Source organism: Homo sapiens, chromosome 10 (genome assembly GCF_000001405.40).
Source record: "Homo sapiens chromosome 10, GRCh38.p14 Primary Assembly".
In the NCBI taxonomy this organism is placed as follows: Eukaryota; Metazoa; Chordata; class Mammalia; order Primates; family Hominidae; genus Homo; species Homo sapiens.
Window position 1 is genome coordinate 129,307,535 of NC_000010.11, and position 19,886 is coordinate 129,327,420.

General features: G+C 40.1%; 1 annotated feature.

The window, feature by feature from the left end:
* Positions 724 to 2,944: an enhancer, noted in NCBI's record as "VISTA enhancer hs562". NCBI's record gives its function as "enhancer in: hindbrain (rhombencephalon)[5/5]" and the evidence as "EXISTENCE:transgenic organism evidence [ECO:0001131][PMID:17130149]".

Genomic DNA, 19,886 nt, shown 5'->3' on the forward strand with positions numbered 1-19,886 from the left:
AAGCTGTGTTGTACATAAAGGATGCATTGGATCTGGTTTCCAAGCCTAATCCAGAAAAGAATTTCCTTTTCAGGACTCTCACTTTTGTTTCTGAAAAATTTGGAAATACCATTTTTCTCGGGGAGTTTCACTAAGCATTATGCAAAACTTTCTACCATGTGGAAGATGCCTTCTTTGGGAGCAGCTAGAGTGGCTCTGGTGAGAGAGAGAAGGTGGTTGTGCTCCCTGACACAGCAATCTTTAAGTCCCCACCATGCACGCAGCCAGGAAAAGCCATCATGAAAGTGTTGAATCAGTGGAGACTTTCTTAAAGAAGTAATAATAATTTCAGGAGTGAACATCCCGGGGCTACTCTGGGTCCTGGGTTTGCCCCACCATGAGGCCTCCTCAACCACCACCCCGGCTGTGGCTCCATAGACAGGACACATCTGTACGTGCTGAGCAGTGACAAACCTAGAACACCTTGTACAGATGTCTCATTGTGGGACATCCATGTGACTTCTGCTGCTCAAGAAAAAAAAAAGTCTCTTTATAAAGATCCCCCCTACTTAAAAGAAATAGAACCTGTATTTTTTTTTCGGTCTGGAAAGTAATAGTATTATATATCATTGTATATGTGGCTTCTTAGATATTTGAACAGTGACTGAAAAATTCATGCAACCATTAACCTAGGACTGTTTCGCTACAAACAGCAAGCTGGAAACTTCCAGAGGCCCTGGACTTCATGTAGGATCTTCTGCACACCATCCCCCTACAGCCTCGCTTGTTAAAAATTAAAAAAAAAAAAAAAGGATTGGACTATTGACTCAATAATAAAAATTTGATCACATCTTAAACTAGAAATCATCTGTGTTTGCATTTCCAGATTCTTTATCAGTAATATGTTGATGCATGTTTGAAAATTTATTAGATGCTGTAAAACAAATCATTAAGCAGGAAGCAGTTCTGAGCCTCAGCACTCTCTGACCCTTTGTAACCCTATTATAGCACCGAAGTGTTCTAACAAACAAAAGAGAAATTAGCTCTTTTGTTCTCAAGACTGTCAAGCAGGTTAGTTCATCTAACATAGTCTTTTATTAATAAATGGCACAGATTTTCATGCTAGCGTAGCTAAAGCAAATCACATCATCGTCTGAAAAAGACATACCTATTATTTTTCAGTGATATATTGCTTTGCAGCTGTAGCCAAAACAATCTAATAAGCACTATTAGATAAAGGATTCTGAATATGAATGTATTGAATTTGTAGTGGAAGAAAATGAACATATTGCAGCATTTATGTCAGATTGGGTTAAGCTTGGGCATCTCTTTCTCCTTAATAAATGCAGATCAAAAGACTTCTCTTATGTAAAAAATAATAATACAAATTTCAGCAATATGAAATAACACAACCACTTTGTAATGTTGGGAGGAAATCAGTCAGCCATGTGCTGTATAGAATATGAATTATTTTAGGAGGGCAAACAGATCCTGTGATGCTCTCTCCATACATTTATATTCATAAAAGATTCCAAACGCCTAGAACAATAGCAGCGATCTATTTGCCATAAAGCATTCCGACATTTGCAGTGTCACTTATGACAGCTTTGATAGACATGTACTACATAAGAAAAATATCTTCGAGCACTCAACTCGTCTAATAAATTGATTAAACTTCTCTTCAACCAATTGTTTTTGTCTTAACTTCTTCTTCAGACATCACCTGAAGGAGCCCTTGCTTGTTTTCAGAAGACTATGTAAAAGGAGACAGTTTAATCGAGGCCTCAACGTTTGAGCACTGTCAGAATTTCCCCTCAAATGATAAATGATTGTATAATGCAACAGTCTACTGCTAGGGCTGAATTATATTAGCCATCAGTGTTCAAAACCCATTTGAAACTTAATTGTGCTGTGGTAGTGGTATCCCCCAGTCAGCAGAACAGCAGGTTTATAAAAATCATCTCCTATGATTGTTAAACGCTTTCCTAATGAAGCTGATGATCACAACACTTTGCAATAAACGCTTTTGTCAAGATGTCACAATGCGTGATAGTGGCCTCTACAGTGAGCAAGTGCTTCTGCGATTTGGGTTTATCTTCATTGCACGGAATTCAACAGATCGGTCTGCATATGGAAGATAATCTCCATAAAAAGGGAAAGTGCTGTATATTAAAATGGGATTATCAACTAGAACATAATCATGCCACTGTGTAATTATATGGTACACCATACGTAGATGTGAACAATCATACAAGAAAATAATTGAGGGCCATAAAACTTAATTCAGAAAAATCAATAGAATATAAAAGCAATCAGATAAGGCCTCTTAAGAAATCGATCAAGGCTTGTACAAAGTCATAATGTGTTTTCCTAAGAGAAAAGGAGCTAAATGAAGCAGAGAAACCTACATAATATTCTACAAGTAGGTTTCTAGAGGTGCTTGTATATTGAAGAGGGAAGAAGAATGGAAAATGCAATTACTTTTTACATTCTAGAACCACGTGTACCGGGAGCAAACGGAATATATGTTAAATACTGCAAGGGAAAGGGCTGTTAGAGCAATTATTCCTTTTTGATCATTTATCTATATTTGTGTCTTTTTGTATCTCTCTAGAGTCTAAAAAAGCTATTAGGCTCTGCTCATTGCAACTTTATGTATCTTTATACGTTGTACGCTCAATCTGAAATACTCAACCATTTAAATATTGGTATAACGTGGAACCGCCCCGCAGGGTGAAAAGTCTGCACGGGAGTCATCTTCCCCACACCCACAAGCTTCTCGGAGCCCAGAGCCTCTCGGTGCCCAGGGGCTGCTTTGTCTGTGTGTCGCCCCCTCATCATTTCCGCAGAATTTGGCCACATAATTTGACCAGAACAGTGTGCTAAGCCAAAACTGTTTTCATTACATAGGGGAAAAAAGTTTATAAATGAAACATATTTTCCTAAGGGAGTACACCACTATTGGATTGAATCCCTAAGGATCTGGGGAAGTAATCAAGGGAAAATACACACTACTTTTGAAATATTCCCACCAAAACTCTCCACAATTGTACATTAGCAAGAGCTTTGTGGTTTATTTTGTATGAAAACAAATAACAAAAGCTCATGTAACCTGTAGGTGAAATGTATCCCTAATCCCCCAAAGCTCACTCGCTGGGCTTCCAGAGGAAACAAATAACTTTTTGTGAAAAGTTAATGTTGCCTCCATTTTTTTTTTTTAAGGAAGGGGAAAAAAAAACCAAACTTGACTACATTTTTTTGTAGCCATTATTAGGCATTGCACATTTTCAGGATCATGTGCTTATAATAGCTAAATGCAGCTGGATTTATTGCCTCTACTTTTAAGAAAAAGTATACTTACAATTTATTTAAAAAGCATCTCTAATAGGTTCACAGTTTTTGAGAGGCAAGCACAAAAGGGCTTATGTCAAGATAGCTGAATGGAGAAATTTACATGTTATCACTGTAATTTATAAAAACAGAAACCCAGATTATTGACTTCAAAGTTTGTTGAAATGTATTTAGAATTCGAGTGGAACCAGCTGTTTTTTAGCTTCTAAAGATCATGTTGTTATAACCTTGCTCAAAAGGGTGATTGTACTGTATTTCTTTAAACAGCTTAAGGGGTATTAATTACAGGAGGAAGGGAAAATACTGTAAATGCCTCTTCTGCCATCTCAGTCAAATGAGAAGCTCCATAACCACGTGCCTCCTGGAGGGACGCGTGGCACATGCACAGGCCCTTACAGGTTCTCCTGCCCAGGGGTCTGCAAATGCACCCACAGACATCAGTGGCATCATCATCAAAAAGTCTCTTAGAATGCAAACACCTAAAACAATGCACACACCAGAGAGGGAGCTGGGGAGGGTGGAGAGGAAGGGAAGGACTCAAGGATGGAGAGCATTGGGGTCTCAGGAAAAGCCTGGCTCGCCCTGACTTTCATCCAGCCAACATGAACTCAGCCCCTATGGTGGGGATGGCCAATTCTAAGCAAGAAGACCTCATGGCTGCACCATGGACCCATAGGCCAGCAGCTTTCAAGCTCAGTCTATATTCTTACAGGGATAGGGATTAGATGCAAGGAGGTTACTTCATGACCATTTGATGAAAGGTAAATAAAGTGATGCTAGCGAGTTCTACCCCATTAGAAACAGGGATGATAGGAAATTTCTTCCAAAAAGCTAAAAACCCATGGTCTCATCATCTTTGCCATTAATCCTTGGGGGGTAGGGATAGTGAGGGAGGTTTTATCAAGTGCATTTGTACCTGCTGTAATCAAATCCTACCTTCAAAAGCCAGAGATGATAAAACAGGTGATATAAGGTAGCAGTGGTTTATTTGAAAGAGAGATTTTTTTACAAAAGCATTAAGCATAGGCTTCCTTAAAGATGCTAGCCCTCATAGTCCAGCTGAAATGATCTGCTATGAGAATTTGTCTATGACGTCTCCAAAATCCTCTGTATGTGTACTTAGCCCGGGCAAAAGAATATCACCTCTCGTGAAGGTCAGAACTAGCCAAGTGTCACATTCTGAACAGATTCCCCTCTTTGCTGTCTTCTACAAACAAGGAATATATATATTTTTAAAACTCTAAGTGTTCATCCCCCAAGCAGCCTGCTCTGACGACAGCTTCCCAGGAAGGAGGGGCAGCTAGAGAAAGACTGTAGAGGTGGTGCTGGTGTTTCTGTCCCCTTCTAGATTGGGTATTTCCAAGTGAAGGACTGAGAGTGGACCATCATGTGCAGGCAGCTCTGCAGACCCACTGCAAATCATCACAGCACATCATTGACAGCCACTATCCTCCTGCACTGGCCAATGACAGGGCCACTGACTGAGGCCCTACTATGTGCAGCACATTCAGCTCAACATGGAAGACAAATGAGAAGAATAAGACTCAAACCCTGACCTCAAATTTGCTTTTGATCTAGTGGCAAATATATAGAGTCAAGAAGAAGCAAAGCAGCATGCATGCAGACACTAGGAGGAGGCCAAGGAAGCCCAGAGAGGCCTGGGCATGTGTGGAGAACCAGTGCTCAGTCTGCACATTCCAGCACGGGTGTCTGGAAGTATGCTGGAAAACTACACTTGGTTGAGAGTTTTCGCTTCTTATTTTTTCAGCAAATCCACTGCCTCATTGTTAGAGAATGTAAGCAAACTACAGTTGACCCCTGAACAATGCTGTATTAGGCCACTCTTGCATTGCTGTAAAGAAATACCTGAGACTGGGTAACTTATAAAGAAAAGAGGTTCTGCAGGCTGTACAAGCATGGTGCCAGCATCTTCTTGGCTTCTGGTGAGGCCTCAGGAAACTTCTACTCATGGCAGAAGGCAAAGTGGGGGCAGGAATGTCATGTGGCAAAGAAGGAGCATGAGAGAGAGTGGGGAGGAAGGTGCTACACACTTAACCAACCAGGTCTTGTGAGAACTCACTATTGCAATGATGGCACCAAACCCTGAGAGATCCAGCCCCATGACCCAAACACCTCCTACCAGGCCCCACCTCCAACACTGGGGATCACATTTCAACATGAGATTTGGACAGGAACACAGATACAAACCATATCAGGCACCAATCCCCGAGGCTGCTGGAAATCTGCACATAACTTTACTCCCCCCAAACTCAATTACTAATAGCCTACTTCTGACCAGAAGCCATACCAATAATATTCACAATTAACACATATTTTATATACATATTATTTACTGTATTCTTACAATAAAGCTAGAGAAAAGAAAATGTTATTAAGAAAATCATAAGCAAGGGAAAACATATTTTCTATTCCTTAGGTGGAAGTTGATCACCATAAAGGTTTTCATTCTTATCATCTTCATGTCAAGTAGAAGGAGGAAGAGAGGGTCTTGCTGTTTCAGGAGTGGCAGAAGCAGAAGAGGTGGAGGACGTGGATGGGGTGGCAGGAGAGATTTATTGAAAAAATCCTTGTGAAAGTGGACCCAAGCAGTTCAAATCCTTGCTGTTCCAGGGTCAATTGTAGTCTATCTGGGTTAAAATTGGGAAATTCCAATACCAAATACTGGTAAGAATTTAGTTACCTGAAAGATTTAGTCACGTGGAAGATGCTTACTAGTGAAAAAATAATTTCATAGTATTAAATTGTGTTAACCCTATTTTCCATAAACCAAATGACCCTGAAACAATCTCATGAGAGTACCTGAAAATCAAACCCATATGGCATCCCCGAAACTTCCTTTTTTCTTAGCACATGTGAACATTTTACAGATATATTATTTTATGGCTCCAACAAGAAAGGGAGTAGAAGATCCTCAAAGGAAGTTAGCTATAAACAGGAGAAGAGTTCAGGCTTTACCACTATCTAACTGGGCCACCTTTACCAGTTATAAAATACATATGAGGGAAGGATATCAACATGAAAACAAAGGGCTACATGGAAACATGAAGCTACTGAAGAAAAAAAGGAAACATTTTTCCATATTTCACATGGAAAGAAGGGGTAGAAATCCCAACAAATGGATGAAAAATTCACGTTGATATCAGGGTAAACAGTGAGCTCTCTGCTACCATGAACAGGTGTAGAGCTGCAAGAACTGCTTTGAAAGAACTTTACTCAGTGGTTAAAAGCCAGGGGCCAATGATGTCCATTCAAGTGGGCTTCCCAATGCCCTCAGTGCCACACTGCTTGTGTATTTCTTTGGAATTAAGGCTTGGATTATGTCTCTATGAGACAAAACAATGAACTAAACATGGAGTTGGCAAGCTATAGCCAGGGAGCCAAATCCGGCCCTCTGCCTACCATTATAAATAAAGTTTTATTGAAATGCAACCATCCTGCTTTCATGCTCCAACAGTAAAATTAAGTAGTTATGACAGAAACTATATGGCCTGAAAAGCTTAAAATATTTACTATCTGGTCCTTTACAGGAAAAGTTGACTGACCCTTGAGCTAAATAGTAAAAAGCAGTCAATTTTTCAGATACCTTGTCTACAGAATAATCTAGACATTTAGAAATATCTACAGAGAAGACCAAATACTTGTACTCGTCTCCTAAGTGTTAACAACTACCCCTTATTTAACAAGATATTGGTGGGGGTAGGGGTGAGGGGAATATGGGGTTGGGGGGCTCAGAGGGCTCTGAGCCCAAGAGCTGGTCGAGAAAAATGAAATCAAGAGGAGAGGCTGACACAGATTTTCTGGGCATTGAAAAAAAGAATAATCACTTTGATCTGGCCATGTTTCTTCACTTGAAAGTGTCTGTAGATTGGTTGATCAGAGAGCTTTTCAGGCAGAAGTGGTCCTGCTTTGGGCAAATATTTGATAAATACTGCCATGAAAGCTCTGTGGTATGGTTGAAGTGAGGCCTGGCTGAGGACAAAATAATCTGAACTCACAGGTGACAGAATAATTATCCCCATGTGTACAGAACAAGGGTTCACCATTAATTTGGAGAAGGTCTCAAGCACGCCTCCAGGGCTGTGCTCTCAGAGGTTCTCACCGTGCCTGCAATTGATCGGGGCTTGGCCTGAAGGCGCATAGCTCACAGAAAATGGGAACAGAAAACAAACAACAAAACAGCAAGATAACCAGGAAGGCAAGCCAAGCTCTGCATTTAATATCTAGGAGGGAGGAGAGAGAGGTCTTGATGAGCTCTCGAGACAAAGGCCTGCAAAGTTTCTTTGCACCCACAATCCATACAAATTCACCGTGTAGAGGGGCAGCAGGAAATCTAAGGCCAAGTTCACATCAATTACCAGAATCATAGTTTCCATATCCCAGGAGAGGGAATGGATCAAACACCATCTGGACTTCTGTGCTCAGTTCTGAGCATCAACAAACAGGGAGGATTACTCTAGAATCCTCCTTCAGGCAACTGAAGGGCTGGACAACCAGAGCAAAGAGGAGAAGGAAGAGCAAAGAGGGTTTAATCTAAAAAAAAAAAAAAAAATAGAGGAACTGGAACAACTATCTCCAGACAGTTGTGGAGTTTGCTTTGTCAGATGAGTCCTTCTTGAAATCAATGGGTAAAAGATGGAGGGGTACAGATTTTGGCTCAGTATAGGCGAAAACTGTCTCTTGGTACCAGACATACTGTTGAACAGTGGGGCCCATCTCAGTTACAGGGAGTGAATGAGCAGGAGCCAGGGACCTCTCTGTTATGGAACTGTCATGGGAAGGGTGCCCTCATAGGGAGCACTCCTCAGTGCCCTAAGATTTTGCCTAGGGGCAGTCCAACCACAACAAAAGCAAAGCATATGGTTTTATTAAGCATATGTGCTGATTTTCCAGGACAATTTTTACTTTAAACAGGCCATTCCCCTTAAGCTATGACAATATCCCACAGATTCCACATGGCAACTCCCAGGTCATTCTTAGACCTAGAAGAACCTTGGTGCCCTTTGAGGCAGTGACCTCTCATCCCTTTGGAAACTGCGGTCAGCACAGCTGCTGCATGATGGGCACAGTCTCTCCAGAGCACAGGGCCACAACACCCTGCTTTTCTAGGCTGGCTTGCATTTTCTGCTTCCTACCTCTACAATGCACAAAAATAACTGTATTTTTTTTTACTTACTTCAGGGGATCCTTCCAAGCCCCTCTCTTGACTCTATGTTTGAATGTAAATACAGAGATTAGTTTGATAGGAATGGGATCTCACTATATACACTGTTTCTTTATAGTATCTATTAAAATGGAAAAACATCCAGGTGAAAAATCATTATTTTATCAGTTCCATAGTATTTTATCTTATTCATGCTCCAAATACCCTATGCTACAATAAAGAAGCACTGCATATACACCTTTGCACATGTGTTGAAATATTGTAGTACAAATTTTACATTCTGGGATATATTGTTAATGTCTCCCTGAAAGCTTGTATTAATTTATCTTCCTAACACCAGTTCAGTTTATAAGTTAATCTGACCTACTTCCTTACCAGCACTTAATATTGTTACTATATTTAGTCATTGCCATGCAAACATGTGAAACTGTGTTATTGATATTCTAGTTTGCATTTCTACTCTGGAAGTTAAGAGTTCAACCTTTGGGTTAGATGACCACCTCAAATCTATCCAAGCTCTTACCAGTTACTTGATATGGTCAAGGGATGAAGCCATCTGTGCCTTAATTTTCCTCATATAAGAGATAGGAATAATAGCAGTATTCATACCACATAGGATTGTTATAAAACTCAATAAAATAATAAACATAAAGCACTTTTATAGGAAGGATAATACAACATGACAAAATGGAGTTGATCCCAGGAATGCAAGGTTGGCTTAACATTTGAAAATCAATGTGTTTCATGACATAGACAACTAAAAGGAAAAACGATAAGATCAATCAAGAAACTCACAAAAAAGTACTTGACAAAATCCAACATCCATTACTGATAGATGCTGTCAGCAAAGTAAGAACAGGAGAGAACTTCCTAAACCTGATCAAGCACATCTATGAAAAGCCTACAGCTAATGTCATTCTTAATGATGAAAGACTGAATTCATTCCCCTATCATCAGTAATGAGACAGGATATCTGCTATTGGCACTACTATTCAGGCTTGTCCAACCTGCAGCCCACAGGCTGCATGCAGCCCAGGATGGCTCTGAATGTGGCCCAAAACAAATTCATAAACTTTCTTAAAACATTATGAGATTCTTTTGTAATTTTTTTTAGCTCATCAACTATCCTGAGTGTTAGTGTATTTTATGTGTGGCCCAAGCCAATTCTTCTTGTTTCAGTGTGGCCCAGGGAAGCCAAAAGATTGGACACCTCTATACTAGAGGTTCTATCCAGGGTAGCAAGGCAAGAAAAAATAACTAAATAATACAAGCCATTCAGATTAAAAAGGAAGAGGCAAAACTATCTTTTGTCATGGTTTATATGATCATCTATGTAGAAAACCCAATACATTCTACAGAAAACTGCTAAGAGTAAGTGAGTTCTGCAAGGTTGCAGGATGCAAAATCAAAAAGACAAAAATCAATTGTATTTATATATAGTAGCAACAAACAACCAGAATTTAAACTAAAAAAGCATCATTTACAATAGTATCAAAATATATAAAATATTTAGGGGTAAATCTGACAAAAGATGTGCAAGATTCTTACACTGAAAACTGAAAAACATTGCTGAGATAAATAAGGAAGACTTAATAAATGGAGAGACATAGTGTGCTCATGGGTCAGAAGATTTGATGTTCTTAAGGTATTGATTGTCTCCAAATTCATCTCTAGATTAAATACAAACACAACCAAAACTCCCACAGGCTTTTTTTTTTTTGTAGAAACAAACAAGATAGTGCTAAAATTTGTATGAAAATGCAAAAGGCCTAGAATAGCCAAAGCAACTTTGAAAAATAGCAAAGTTGAAGGACTAACTATTCCAAGAGCTATTTTAAAGTTACAGTCATCAAGATAGTGTAGTATTGGCTTAAATTGACAAGTAGATCAATGCAATGGAATACAGAACAGATCCATGCATTTATGGCAACGAATTTTTTACAAATGCACAAAAGCAATTCAGTGAAAGAGGGACATCTGTACCCCCTCTCTGTGCACTGCCACACACACACTCAAAGAAACCCCACTTCCAATCTTACACCATATATAAACTTAACTTGAAATGGAGAAAGGCATCCTGGCTAACACGGTGAAACCCCATCTCTACTAAAAATACAAAAAATTAGCTGGGCGTGGTGGTGGGCACCTGTAGTCCCAGCTACTTGGGAAGCTGAGGAAGGAGAATGGCGTGAACCTGGGAGGCAGAGCTTGCAGTGAGCCGAGATCGCACCACTGCACTCCAGCCTGGGTGACAGAGCCAGACTCTGTCTCAAAAATAAATAAATAAATAAATGGAGAAAAGACCTAAAAAGTATGGAAACTAAAACAATAAAACTCCTAGAAGAAAGCGTCAAGAATATTTGTGACCTAGAGACATGAAGAGATTTCCTAGATACTATACAAAAAGTATGATCCATAAAAAGAAACTCATGAGATAGACTTGATAAAAATTAAAAACATTTTTGCTGCTAAAGACAATGTTAAGTGAATGAAAAGACAAGCCATAGACTTGAAGGAAATTATTTGCAAGGCATATAGCTGATAAGAAGTTTTATCCAGATATTTTCAGAACATATATGGAAACTCAAAATTCAATAACAAGGAAGCAACCCAAGTGTTAAAACTATCCCAAAATTTGAAGAGATACTTAATCAAAGATATACTTTTGAAGAATAAGCACATGAAAAGATGATCCGCCTACAGAAATACAAATTAAAACCACACTAACTTACTACTACATGCATATTACAATGTTTGAAATTAAAAAGACTAACCACATCAAGGCTAGATTCTGAAGGAATTAGAATTATAGCACACTGCTGGTGGGAATATAAAATGTCACAAGCACATTGGAAAACAGCTTGGCAGTTTCTTTAAAAAATTAAACACACGCCTACCACATGACCTAGCCATTCTACTCCTAAATATTTACCCAAAGAAAGCATGTGTCCATATAAAACTTGTATGCAAATGTTCACAGCACTTTATTATTATTACTGAAACACCAGGGGTTTGGTCTAGGCCCTGCTGCTCTCAGCACAGAAAGCCAATCACTGAGACAATAAGTATTGCCAGGGAAGAAGGCTTTAATCAAGTGCTGCAGCCAAGGAGATGAGAGCTCAGTCTCAAATCCATCTCCCTGACCAGCTAAAACTCAGGGTTTATATAGCAGGGAAGAAATGAAACAATGTGTAGGAACACAGAAACTAGGGAGGGGCAAGGGAGCAATCACCATGAATGTGGGGTCCAGCATCTGATGTGAAGATCTGGTGAGTTTCAGTTCCTTGACACTTTTTTGAGAGGTCTCAGGGTCCTTTCCTGAGGAAGGAACTCAAATAAAACAAACATAAGTTTCAAGCTTTAAGACAAGAGGGGTCCATTTCTATGTTTATTTTAAAAAGCAGTCTATGGGACTATTAAGTCAGTTTCATTATTAATACACAAAATCTTGAAACCACCCGTTTCCATATGCAGGTGAATGGGTAAACAAATTGAGGCATCCAATGGATTACTACTGAGCAATAAAAAAGAATAAATTATTTTTTAAAAGAAAAGGAATGAACTACTGATACACATGCAACATGAATGAAATTCAAAATAATTATGCTGTGTAAAAGACACTAAGCAAAAAAATACGTACTGTATTATTCCACTTATGTAAAATTCTAGCAGATGTAAATAGATATGTAGTTACAAAAATCAGATCAGTGGCTGCCTGGGGCTGGTGGCACCTAGGGAAATGGAGGAGGAAAGAATCGCATAGTGGCATGAGGATTTGCTATCTTGACTGTGGTGATGAATTCACAGGCATATGCTTGTCAAAACTTATCAGATTTTACACTTGGAATATGTTCAATTATTGTATGCCAGTTTTACCACAATTAAAAATATAAAGCACTTTGAATACTGTCAGAAAGATAGTAGGTGCTCAACAGATGCTAGCTACCATTATTGTTACTTTTTCATCAAATGTTTTTTCCACTAGGTGGATAGCCTAGTTGCTCATTTTCTACTGATTTCACTTTTTTGTAGGAATACTTTAAACATGAAGACAATTAATGAGTCACAGTTTTAAAATACCTCCTCCAGCCATTCCTTTGTTTTCTCACTTTGTCTTGGTGCCATGGATATGTTCAGACACCACATCAGTCTTTCCCAGGATGGTTTCTGGCTTTCAGGTCATACTTTAAAAAGGAGGAATTTGATTTTAAATATTTGGTCTTATCACTTTTTGCCAGCTTTATGGAAATACGATTTATGTATAATAAAATCTGCCCACTCTAATTGTTTAGTTGGATGACTTTTGACAATTTTATGCAGTCCTGTAACTACCTCTACATCTCCAGCAGCCCCAAAAGTTCTCTAATGTCTTTTTGCAGTCACACCTTCCCCCATCCCCATTCCTGGCAGCCACTTATCTGTTTTCTGACAATTTTCTTTCCTAGAATTTCATGTCAATGAGCTCATATAAGTGATTATGCAACATGTGCTCTTTCCTATGGGTCTGGCCCCTGTCACTCCCCATAAGGTGTGGCGAGCCATCCACATTACTGCCTGCATCAGGATTTCCTTCTTTTGACTGCTGAACAGCATTCCTGGCCTGGATGTAGGAGGAATTTGTTTATCCACTCACCTCTTGATGGATATCCAGTTGCTTTCAGTTTTGTTGGTTTTTAGTTTTGGTTTTTGTTTTAGTGAGATTTGGGGACTACTAGAAATAATGATGCTCTGAACATCTGTGTACCAGGCATTTGTATGAACCTATGTTTTCATTTTCTTTGTTAAATATGTAAGAATAGGATTACTGGGCTCTGTATTTAACTTGATAAGACATTCCCAAGCCACTTTTCAATATGGCTGAGCCATTTGCCACTTCCGCCAGCCATATGTAAGCACTCTAGTTGCTCCATGTCTTTGTCAACACTTGGCACTGTCAGTTTTTACATTTGAGCCATTTCCTTGAATGGGTAATGGTTCTGTCTTATTGCCTGTCAGAATTTATTTATGCTTAAAATACCCCAATCTGTATTAGCCTTCTTTCCTAAAATCAACATTTTACTCCAAAAATTCCCTTTATACAATAATTAGATGGGTGAAAGCTGCCAAAGAGATGGCAGTTATAAAGTGATAACATGCCTTCTCACACAATCATCATGTTTTTAATGAAATATTTAGAATATATATTGATCTCTTATAATAAACCATAATTACTTGATTGGTTCTATCTAAGAAGGCAAATAAGGAATGTATCATTACCGAAAAGTATTTCAGGCATTTTATCTATAGGCTTTTGCTTGGGTAGTACCAAAATAAAGACAAGGGGGAAAAAGATGTCCAGGATAAAAGTTACACTTAATACTTTAGTAACACACTATGTGGTACATTTTATTAAACTCAGATCCACGGCTGAGTCAGAAGGGAGTGTACATGAGGGGACCTTGGGGTCAGGTCATAGATCATTAGAAGAGCAAAGAGCCCACACTCACTGCTCACATGGATCAGGCTGTCCTGGCCATTGTCTGTGTGTATTGGGATGGGGTGATGATAACATAATCCTCTATATGGAAATACGCATACACATACATGCACACATGCACGCAGGAATGAGTAATTGGATTTGGATTAGGATGGATTTGGGTATTAATTCGGTACTTAACTTCATTATATAGGTGCTTTATCAAACAAGGACATTTTATCAAATAGTATCACCAAAAGCCCATTTTACCAGGCCTTGCAGGCATGTTCACTGCCCTCCGGATTCTCAGCAGGCTAACGTCGTGGCCTCCTTCAGCAGCCTCTCCTGCCTGTGCCGCTGGAAGTGACAACTTGGTGACAAGCCAGATGTGACGGCCTGGGTTTCTCTTCCTCGGCACACTCCAGCCGTGGCCTTAGGAGCAATTGCAGCGTCTAGACGGGGTCTGTATCCACACCAAGGCTGCATTCCCGGCCTCCTTCTTGTCTCCCTCTTTGGACTGTCAGCTCTACTGATCCACTTTCCACCTATATGGAAAAAAATTTCTCCAGTATTTGCTAAAAATATCCTTTCACATTCTTGACATCAGAGAAAATTTCCAAAAGTGATTTGCATAATCAAGCACAGAGATTGGGGGCCATAATCGCAGTCCAAACTCATCCGCATGTTCATCCTTCCTGGAAATATCTTGGAATTCTTCATTTCGGTGAGTCTGTTTGGGGATGCTTGTGGCAGCAAAGGGGATGAGGGGCTTAGAAAGAAAGACACACACTGCACGGTGACCTTTATGTCTTGAAAAGGTGGCAGAAATATTCTGCCACAGGCCCCAAAACATGCACAATGAACTTCTTACTATTTTAACTCAAAAAACCCTGCAATTCCTTACATTCTTCCTAAAATCGCATGCTTTTGTCTGAAGCCACACATCAGCAATATGCTTGTCTTGCCTACTTTAAGCATAATAGAAATCATATAAAGCCACGTGAACCTTGTTGTTTAGGTATCATTTCAGGTATGGCGGGCTTTTCTTCCCCGGACTGTGAACGTACATCCGTGTTCTCGTTTGAAGAGTTACAGTGGAGGCAGAGAAGACAAACCCTCCCCTCCCCTCTCTTTTCACTCCCACTAATTCTTCAGTTCACATCAACAAAACATATTAATAGGGGAGTCTTTTGCAACAACTAACACCATGTATTTGGCTGCATGTTTTAGAAGACCTCCGAAAATACCTGCGAAAGAATGCCATTCCCTGAAAGAACCACCCGTGCACAATCAGCATAGAGGCATTGTCTCCAGATCTGGGGGGAAATAGCTAAGATCTTGCCTTTTCCCAATGAGGCCCCCTATTAATATATACCTGTGCACATTTTTATCAGAGGAACTAATAAGACGATAGTGAGGAAGCAAAGTTAGCTATTAGATAACAATTCTCCTGCCAAGAGCCATAATCTGACACAGATTGAGCTGGGCGTAGTAGTCCATTAATGGTTCACGGCTCATACAATAATGACCTACTAACCTGACGTGGTGTTGCTTTCACATTCTGCTGTCCCCTGGGATGCTACTGTCACTGTGTTATCTATTGCCTGCTTCCCTATCAAAGAAAAAAGCAGAGCTGAAATGTATGTACGCATCCAGCCCTGTAGTTCATGGCACACCAACCCTAGCAACTGGAGGAACAATAGATTTATAAGATTATCCTACATTAAGCCAAACATGCCTGACTGCACTGTAAATTACTAAATAATAAACCAGGTGGTGTAAGATCCTGACTTGGACAGAATATAAAAATCTATCAACCTGTAAAATACAATAACCATAAATGTGCTGTGTAGCTGATGGCTCAGGTAAACCATCCACCTCTAGGATCCAAGGTTTCAGCAAGACAATTGCAACAAAGCCATGCCACATTTTACACTTGGCTTCCTTTTCTTTTGTGCTTCCTGTCGGCAGAGGAAAGATCGCTGAGTTAAAACACTTGGGTGTCTGTTTTGTTTGTTCAATGTCTTTGTTTGGAATTGGCCACTTCTCTCCTAATCGGCAATTGCTCCCGGGCTGTTGCCACGCAGTCTGGGGCTGGTGTCTTCCAAGATGACACCAGGTTACATAAAGATTGCTTCGGTGCCCAAACTTCACATTCAAATGAGCTTGAAACACTCCACGCTGCCTGGAGAAAGTGAAAAACACAGGAAAGATGCAACCTTCAGATGATATATACCTTTCTCTTGAGAAAAATATCATAAAACTTGGTTAACTCAGTAAAACCCTGTCCTGAATTCCACACTTCAGCGGTCGTTGCAGAAATAAAATGAAGATGAAGTAAATTCTGCTCGGTCTTTCCTTGCAGTCCCCTGCAAGAGAGATTCCATTTGTATGAATCTCAGGGAAAAAAAAATTAATTTGACTTCAGTGAGAGATTCCAAAATGATCCCATAAATTGTGATTCCAAAACATACAAAGCTAATTAATTCCTTTTTAGGAGATTTTCAATAAGCAAACCAGGTTAAGTTTATATGATTTACAAACAGTGTTTACATTCATAGAGGTGCAACTAATTGCTACATGGTTTGACATCATTACAGAAAAATGCTGGGGGATGCAGGCAGTTTAATTAGGGGTGGTTTCAAGTTCACTACGCGATTACCATCACAGAGCTTTTCTAATATGCTTATACAGTACAGTCATGCTAAAAAGTGATTACATTTTGCCCGCCGCCTGCCTAAATTTTGAATGAAGAATTAGAATCTCTATATAAAAGGTTATGCTCATACAGTTTAGATTTCTTCTGAATCACCGTCACCGGCTTCTGCCCCTCAGACTTCATCTCCTCCTATTTTGCACATCAGCTATCTGGCGACTGTGTGCAAGCCTTTGTATCCATCACAAGACCTCCTTGGAGCATTTTCAAATGATGCTGAAAACCTTCACGCTTAGCAAGATGTTTTAGAAGCAGATTTTTACCATCTACGTAGTTCCAATACAACACCAGCCGTTGTTTATAAATAATTTAGTTCCAAATTACAACTCACTTTCCATTTCAGTCAATAACAATTGTTTTGCCAGTTTTAATTTTTAAAGTTTCATCCTGTTAAGTTGCTGTCTTCTGCAATAAACTCAAGTTGCTAATGACAATGTCTCTTTGGAGGGCTAAGAACTGAGAGGAGGGTGGAACTCAGGGTATGACCTCTAGAACCCAAGACATCTGGATTTCAATGAGCCCTGTCACCACCACAAAATGACCAGGAGCTTGTATTACAAATATCAAGTTAACATCCTTAAGTAATATATAACTAAGAACCAACCCTTTGGAATATTCTAGAATCCATGTGAATGTCCAAAAAAAATTCCCTAAGTCTCTCCTGTCCGAAAGAGGCTCACAATTTAGTCCTGGAGAGATGGCCGCTTGGCGGGAATCACTTCCTTTAAGGCTGAAAGGACAACAGGTTCAAACGGTGTGCGAAGATAATTTAAACTTCAAAAATACCACTCCTTCATGCTTTTTATTTATTTTTTAATGCACATTTCTAAGTTTTGGCCGAAGTACTTGCAAAACACTTTATGTTCCACTGTTTTCTGTTCTGGATTCTGACGATTCTGTTTTGAAGGAAGAATAAATGAAATAAGATTCCCCAGAGCAAATGATTTTACAGTGCAAGTGACACCTCACAGAGGTACCCTGGCTTTTCACAGGAGTTTCAAAACACAGACATCAGAGGAAAAAAATGTTCAAGAAACCTCATATTGTTGGTGTCTGGACTTTAATGAAACAGACTCCTGCAGGTGACCACTTCCCACAAGTTAGTGCCTTGGGGTGGAAGACACAAAAAAGTATAAAAAACACATTATGGCCATACAGTCTTGGTGCTTGGGCCACACAAGAAACAAAATTTCTCATGATACTTTAAGGGTAGTGGGATATCTGTGCTTTGGAGAGCTGATTTGACTCTTGAAGGAATAGCTTCACCTTTACCAACAGCAACTGCTAATTTTTCTATTCAAAAGCAAATAACCAATTTCTAATTGACTTTAATTAACTTGAAGACAGCACCAAATTATTACATACATCTGTTAATAAACAAACGATAAATTCTGGATCTGAAATTGAAGTCACCACAAGTTTTAAAGCATTAAAAACTTGTTTTAAAAACCACATCTCTGGTCTCTGGCAGACCACAGAGCAGCAACTTTCAACCCAACTCACCACTCTGCAGCATGGTCCTGAAGCCTCACTATAAATTCTTCTCTGGAATCTTCCATGTTCTCTTTTTTTGTTTGTTTGTCTGTTTTAAGAGACAGCGTCTTACTCTGTCACCCAGGCTGGAGTGCCTTGGGCAGAACATAGCTCACTGCAGCCTTGAACTCCTGGGCTCAAGTGATCCTCCTGCCTCAGCCTCCCAAGTGGCTGGGACTACAGGCACAAGCCACCACACCCAGCTAATTTTTTATTTTTTGTTTTTTTGTGGAGACAGGCTGATCTCGAACTCCTAGGCTCAAGTGATCCTCTTGCCTCAGCCTCCCAAAGTGCTGGGAATACAAGTGTGAGCCACTGTGCCCAGCAATGTTGCCCCTGTCCATGGTACTCTCTCTCTAGCTGCCCCCTCTATGCTTTTCCTGTCACATCCCTGAAATGGATACATGAATGTCCCCACCTGAAACAAAGGTAAGCTCACGAACAGGTGTGTCACCCCCACAGTGACTTTCCCAGATGGAGCCCTTTCCTTCCACAGGGAGGTGGACTTAGCTCTAACCATTGCCTGAGCCCACAGTGGAGACTGTGGTGATAAGCAATGCTCAGCCCCTGGCTCCAGCTCTGACTGTGAATTAAGCTAGACCATTGAGATGAGTGATGCCATGGATCGAGGGCATGGATCAGACAACTGATCAGGGCCCTGGCTGAAGTACTGGGTCCACATCCTCCGTTTCTTTCTACCTGATCATCACCAGAGGAATTCACTGTTTCCCCTTCTGTCTCTGATTCCGGTGACTCTTCAGAACCAACCCAATACGTTGTTGCTTAATTCATTAATTCCATGGAAACTGACAGACCCCAAACACTGTACTCGAGCAAAGGTGAGTTGCAGGAGACCAGCGCAAGTCTCTGTGAATGCACATCCTGCAAGACTGCCTAAACTAAAAGGATTACCACAATTGCCTAACAATTAGCAACTTCCAGCTCCTATAAAGCAGAGCCTTTTGCCATCCTCTGGCTTACAGAGCATTCACTCACTGTGGATTCAGAAGACTCTTCACATTCATGGGAGCATGTCCCGAGACCCTCACAAACTCCCATCCAGGGACACTGAGGTATATCATTATATCATGTCCAACAAGCTTACTGGCAGTCTACACACAATTGTAGAATGCTCTCCAAACTTCCACTGATGCTTAGCCCTCATCAGCAAGTAATTTCTGCCCTGGATGAAGCATTCACACCCACAGTTTCATAGGTCACTTCTTCTCATGACCGCATTGATTTTCCAGGGGACCCATTCTGGTACTGGGTAGGGGCCACAACCCAGTATTTTGTTCTCCTCTTTCTCCAGAGTTCAATTTCCCAGATATGAATCACCATTTACTTTACTTTCTCTTTATTTCCAGCATTAACAAATAGCTTGTGGTGTGTGTAAGGTGGAAGGGAGGGGTAGCGAATACTTCATCATGAGAAAATGAGTTTGAGCCATTTTCTTGTCTCCTCTTGTCTATGAAGAGAAGAGGAGACCCACACAGCCACATCATAAACCTGCTGGGTGTTATCTGGGCTCATCGATTCAGTATTCACAGCATACAGAATCCATTTTATGGCATACAAAATCTAAATATGTGGCTCAGCAAATTACAAATGACTATATGCCATGAGCCTTCTAGGTTACCTACAAGTAGCCAAAACCACAGAGGTCAAAT